Here is a 6,469-nt window from a genome sequence, read left to right as displayed (position 1 = left end):
ATTATCAGAAAAGATAATTCCTAAGGAGAATCGCTTTTCCCGAAATAAATTGTAGCTAAATTTTCATAATAAAGTTTTTTTAATAATATGGGGAACTATGAGTGATATGTTGACGGGAAGGACAATGTTTTTAATATTTGTGCAAAAATGTAGAAGTAAGTTCCATATGGATATTTACTAAAGTAACTTTGATTAAAGCTATGAGGGAAATATTCAGATGAAATTTTGTTAAGGTGATTCAGTGAGGGACTATATTAACAGGATTCCATATGGAGCCTTCTCACGGTCTAATTTGATAATTCTGAATTATGGTACCCTGGGGAATATAAGGTTTCAGTAAAGGCACAACTGAATCATGGCCTAGAGCCTTTATTATGTTATTTTGAGCCCTTTGTAAATATACTGTTTTTAAAATAATGATATTTTTGAGATATTAGTCATGCATCCTAAAAAATAAGCCTTTTAAAGTCAGTTTATGGTATAGTCACTGAGTTGTGCAACCATCACCACTATCTAATTTCAGAATATTTTCATTGCTCCCAAAAGAAACTCTGTATCCATTAGTAGTCACTGCCTATTTACCCCTTTCCCATGTTTCTGGGATCATGTCCATTTTAAGTTTTGTGTATGGTATGAGGAATGAGTCCAATTCACTCTTTTGCATATGGATATTCAGTTGTTTCGACATCATTTGTTAAAAAGCTTATTCTTTTTCCCATTGAATTGTCTTGGCACCCTTGTTGAAAATCAGTTGACTAGAAATGTAAGGGTTTATTTCTGGATCTTCAATTCTATTCCATTGATCTACATGTCTAGCTTTGTGCCAGTACCACACTGTCTTGATTACTGCAGCTCTGTAGTTAAGTTTTAAATTTGGAAGTGAGTCCTTCAAATTTTTTCTTCGTTTAAACAATTGTTTTAGGCTGGGCGCGGTGGCTCATGCCTATAATGCCAGCACTTTGGGAGGCCAGGGGAGGGGGTGGATCACCTAAGGTCAGGAGTTTGAGACCAGCCAGGTCAACATGGTGAAACCCCATTTCCACTAATACAAAAGTTAGCTGGGTGTGGTGGCATGTGCCTGTAGTCTCAGCAGCTAGGGAGGCTGAGACAGGAAAATCACTTGAACCTGGGAGGCAGAGGTTGCAGTGAGCCGAGATTGCGCCACTGCACTCTGCCTGGGTGGACAGAGTGAGGCTCTGTCTCAAAAACAAAACAAAACAAAACAAAAACAATTGTTTTGGCTATTTCTGTCCCTTGTATCTGCAGATAAATTTTAGTTTTCTTTTTTTGCGATATCTTTTTAAGGGGTTTGGTATCAGGTTAGTACTGGCCTTATAGAATAAGTTGGGAAGTACTTCGTCCTTTTTTTTTGTAACGGTTTGTGAAGAATTGGTACCAATTTTCCTTAAAATTGTGTACATTTATCAGTGGTCATCTGGTCCTGGGCTTTTCTTTGCAGGAAGTTTTTTGATTACTAATTTCATCACCTTACTTGTTTAGATCAATTTAGATTTTCTATTTCTTCTTGAGTCAGTTTTGATAGTTTGTACCTTTCTAGAAATGTATCCATTTTAGTTATCTAATTTGTTTGCATACCACTACTTATAATATTTATCATTCATTTCTATAAAGTCAATAATAATTCCTCTCTTTATTTTTTTTTTTTTTTAATTAGAGAGAGAATCTCACTATGTTGCTTGGCCTGGTTTTGAACTCTTGGGTTCAAGTAATCCTCCTGCCTTGGCCTTCCAAGTGGCTGGGACTGCAGGCCCATATGACCATGCCCACCCTCCCAAGTGGCTGGGACTACAGGCCTGTACCACCAATACCTGTTTTGTTTTGTTTTTTTGAGACGAAGTCTCGCTCTGTCACCCAGGCTGGGTGCAGTGGCGTGATCTCAGCTCACTGCAATGTACGCCTCCTGAGTTCAAGGGATTCTCCTGCCTCTGCCTCCTGAGTAGCTGGGATTACAGGCAGGCACCACCATGCCTGGCTAATTTTTGTATTTTTGGTAGAGATGGGGTTTCACCATGTTGGTCAGGCTAGTCTCGAACTCCTGACCTCGTGATCTGCCTGCCTTAGCCTCCCAAAGTGCTGGAATTACAGGTGTGAGCCACCGCGCCCAGCCACCAATACCTTTTTATTTTTTCCCTCCTTCCCCTCCTTCCTTTCTTTGTCACTCAAAAACATCTGAGGTCTCTTTAATTTTTTTTTTTTTTTTTTGAGGCGGAGTCTCACTCTGTCGCCCAGGCTGGAGTGCAGTGGCGCGATCTCGGCTCACTGCAAGCTCTGCCTCCCGGGTTCACGCCATTCTCCTGTGTCAGCCTCCTGAGTAGCTGGGACTACAGGCGCCCGCCACCATGCCCGGCTAATTTTTTTTGTATTTTTAGTAGAGACGGGGTTTCACCATGTTAGCCAGGATAGTTTCAATTTCCGGACCTCGTGATCCGCCCGCCTCGGCCTCCCAAAGTGCTGGGATTATAGGCGTGAGCCACCGCGCCCAGCCCCTTTCATTTTTGATGTAAGTAATTTGAGTCTTCTCTCTAATTTTTGGTCAGTTTAGTTAAACGTTTGTCAATTTTGTTGATATTTTCCAAGAATCAAGTTTTGGTTACATTGATTTCCTCTGGTGCTTTTTTTATTCTCTAATTTATTTCTACTCTAATCTTTATTTCCTTCCTTTGTAAATACGTTATTAAATGTTTGCATAGTACCCCCATCATTTGGATGTGTTATAAATAATATCCCAGTTTTGCTGAATATTTTAGATATTTCTGAATATTTGCTGATATTTTAGAGCTTTAGATATCCTCCCCTCCATTTTTTTCCCATTATTAATGATATCGGCCAGGCTAATGCCTGTAATCCCAGCACTTTGGGAGGCCAAGGCAGATGGATCACTTGAGCCAGGAGTTTGAGACCAGCCTGGGCAACATGGAGAAACCTCATCTCTAAAAAGAAAAGAAATATATATGTGTGAACATCTCCATGTAAGCAGAATTTTCTGTTTTAGATTTTTGTATAGGGTCGTAGTTAGTAGAAATGGCTTTGGAGCAACACCATGTTCTTCAGTTTACCCAGCTATGTGACTTTGGACAAGTTGTTTGTGTTTGGACTTCTTCATCTGTAATGTGGGAATGGGAATTTGTTCTTGGGTATCTAGGTTATGTTATAATTAGGATTGCTTTCCATAATTGAACTATCTAGGGCAGAGGATGTGAACAGTTCTAAATAAACTCAATACATAAAGAAATATTTTCTATTAGTTCCTTTCTGTGAAAAACAGGGAAAGAAAATAAATACACATATGTAAGAAGCCACCTCCAAAGTTCCAAAGTAGGTATTTCAGGAATGTGATGGTCTTTTTTTTTTTTTTTTCCTTTTTCAAATTGGCAACAATTTGAAAAATCTTGCAGGTGAACCACATAGACTAGAAATATGGCAAAAATTAAGAAATGTTAGGTATGTCTTGAATGCATAAAATATATGTAGATACTAGTCTATGTGTTATTTGACTATGTTATTGGTAAGGCTTCTGGTCAACAGTAGACTATTAGCAGTCATGTTTTTAGGGAGTCAACATTTTTTTTTTTTTTGAGACAGGGCGTCACTCTGTTGCCAAGGCCAGAGTGTAATGGTTCGATCTCGACTCGATGCAACCTTGATCTCCTGGGCTCAAGCACTCCTCTCACCTTAGCCTACCAAGTAGTTGGTACCACAGGTGTGTGCCACCACACCCAGCTAATTTTTTGTACTTTTTATTTATTATTAATTAATGTATTTATTTTGAGACAGAGTCTCACTCTGTTGTCCAGTGCGGAGTGCAGTGGCATCATCTCGGCTCACTGCAACTTCCGCCTCCTGGGTTCAAACGATTCTCTTGCCTCAGCCTCCAGAGTAGCTGGGATTACAGGTGCCTGGCTAGTTTTTGTATTTTTAGTAGAGATGGGGTTTCATCACGTTGGCCAGGCTAGTCTCAAACTCCTGACCTCAGGTGATCTGTCTGCCTTGGCCTTCCAAAGTGCTGGGATTCCAGGCGTGAGCCACCTCGCCAGGCCTGAGTGTTGAAACTTATACTCAGAGTTTTTAATGCATGGCGGCTGGCTCCCTCAACACCCACACTGTTTAAGGGTCAACTGTATTTTTTATTGTTTTATTGTTATTTTTTTCATAAATATTTTTGATCCCTGGTTGGTTGATCTGAGGATGCAGAACTAGGGAGGGAACATGGCTACATGTTGTTGGGGATAAAAAGGTAAACGTGACTCTACTTTTTCTCTTGGAGCTTGAAATCAGCCTGTGAATATCTGAGTTGGTAGAGCTGGACGAGGTTACAGCTGAGCATAATTTTTGTTTCTAAAGGAGAGATAAAACCAAGTATCTCAGGAATCAAAAACAGCTATTAGGTACCCGTCGAAGGGATATTTGAGATCCTTAGGGTCCTCAGTCTTCTTTAAATGTATGTATATTTTTAAAATGAAACCAAGGTCATAAGTGTAATTAAAGGTACCCTAAAGAAATCACATTAGTTTTGAAATGATCATGAGGAATCTACAGCATTAACTTTAGGAAACTTCTTATAAAGCCCCAAGAGGTTTTACATTGGTTGTGTCTGTTGTTAATATGAGCTATTTAAGTGTATTTAAGGAGTGTAGTGACAAAGAGACACGTGGAAATAGCAAGATGTTTCTAGTGTGCTCCACCTTAAAGCCTTGTTCACTTTCTTTTTTTTTTTTCAGATGGAGTTTTGTTCTTGTTGCCCAGGCTGGAATGCAATGGCGCGATCTCAGCTCACTGCAACCTCTGCCTCCTGGGTTCAAGCGATTCTCCTGGTTCAGCCTCCTGAGTAGCTGGGATTACAGGAATGCGCCACCACACCTGGCTACTTTTGTATTTTTAGTAGAGATGGGGTTTCTCCACGTGCATCAGGCTAGTCTCACACTCCCGACTTCAGATGATCCACCCGCCTCGGCCTCCCAAAGTGCTGGGATTACAGGCGTGAGCCACCGTGCCTGGCCAAAGCCTTCTTCACTTTCATTTTGTGGCTGCTGTTGTGAAATCTGCAGAACCTCAAGCTGTTTGGACTCCATCTTCTAGGTTGAATTAGATTACAGGTAATCTCATGGTGGAGGTGTATTCTGGATCGACTCACTTTTGAAATGTTTATGAAAGAAATTCCTTCACCTCGGGACTTCCACACTGGAGCTGGCAATCAGTATCACCTTAATTTACCTATCACAGTGAGGCATCTCTGCTCTGAGGAAAACAAAACAAAACAAAACAAAACAAAAAAGAAGAGCTAATGGTTCTGTTTTGTTTTGTTGTTTTAGAGACAGGGTCTTGCTCTGTCGCCCGGGCTGGAATGCAGTGACATCATCACAGCTCACTGTAGCCTTGATCTCCTGGGCTCAAGCGATCCTTCTGCCTCAGCCTGAGTAGCTGGGATGGGACTACAGATGCACGCCACCACACATGGCTAATTTTTTTATTTTTTAGAGACGAGGTCCCATGTGAGCCACGGTGCCCCACCTTTTAAAGCAATTACCGTAAGGAAGCAACTGTCTTTAGCAAATAGAAGATCATAAACATCCTTCTGGAGATCTTGAGATGTTGACTGTGGTTTATAGGGCAATGAAAATCTACATACCTGAGTGGGGCAGTGAGACATGAGTGCCACCTATGATCCTTCCAGTGAGCAATTCTTTCTGGTGCCAGGAGCCCAAAGGAAACTCAGTCAACCAGCTGTAGATGGGCTTGTTCCGAGTTTGTTCTAGAAGTCAGAACTGCCAGCTCTGAAAGTAGGTCACAAGTGACTGGCCATCCCTGGGCTGCTCACAGGAAGTAGCTGCAAAGGTCAGGGAAAGTTTTTAATGACTATACAGGCCAGTGAATGACAGGCTTTGAGGAGCTTCTCTTCTTGGCATCTGAAACAGGCACATGGAGGAGCTGCCTTGGAGACAGAATGACAGCTGTGGCAATGTGAGCCTGATTCCTCAGCCCCATAAAATAGATGCCTTTGCAAAAAACCCATTTATTTTTTTTTTTTTCTGTTTTTGAGAGGGAGTCTCGCTCTGTCCCCCCAGGCGGAGTGCAGTGGCGTGATCTCGGCTCACTGCAACTTCTGCCTCCCGGGTTCAAGCGATTCTCCTGCCTCAGCTCCCAAGTAGCTGAGATTACAGGCATCCGCCACCACGCCTGGCCAATTTTGTATTTTAGTAGAGACGGGGTTTTGCCACATTGGCCAGGCTGGGAAAAAGCCCATTTCTATACAGAGGAATCATCTTGCAGGACTCAAGGAATGATTAAGAGGAATCTACAGCATTAACTTTAGAAACTCGATGCAATATTCCCAAGAGGAGTTAAGATTGGGATAAGTAATCTCTGAATTAATTTCAACCTTGAGATGTTGTGATCCTATGAAGTCAAAGACATATTTCTTTTTTCTTTGTTTGAGATGGAGTCTTGCTCT

General features: G+C 41.4%; 1 annotated feature.

The window, feature by feature from the left end:
- Window positions 4,641–5,840: an enhancer, noted in NCBI's record as "CDK7 strongly-dependent group 2 enhancer chr3:194218672-194219871 (GRCh37/hg19 assembly coordinates)". NCBI's record gives its function as "activates an origin of replication core promoter dependent on BRD2, BRD4, P300/CBP, MED14 and CDK7 cofactors, with strong dependence on CDK7, by STARR-seq in HCT116 cells {active_cell/tissue: HCT116}" and the evidence as "EXISTENCE:reporter gene assay evidence [ECO:0000049][PMID:35650434]".

The sequence above is a fragment of the Homo sapiens genome, chromosome 3, assembly GCF_000001405.40.
Source record: "Homo sapiens chromosome 3, GRCh38.p14 Primary Assembly".
Lineage (NCBI taxonomy): Eukaryota > Metazoa > Chordata > Mammalia > Primates > Hominidae > Homo > Homo sapiens.
The sequence above is the reverse complement of the archived record's forward strand: the minus strand, read 5'-3'. Positions and strand labels throughout refer to the sequence as shown.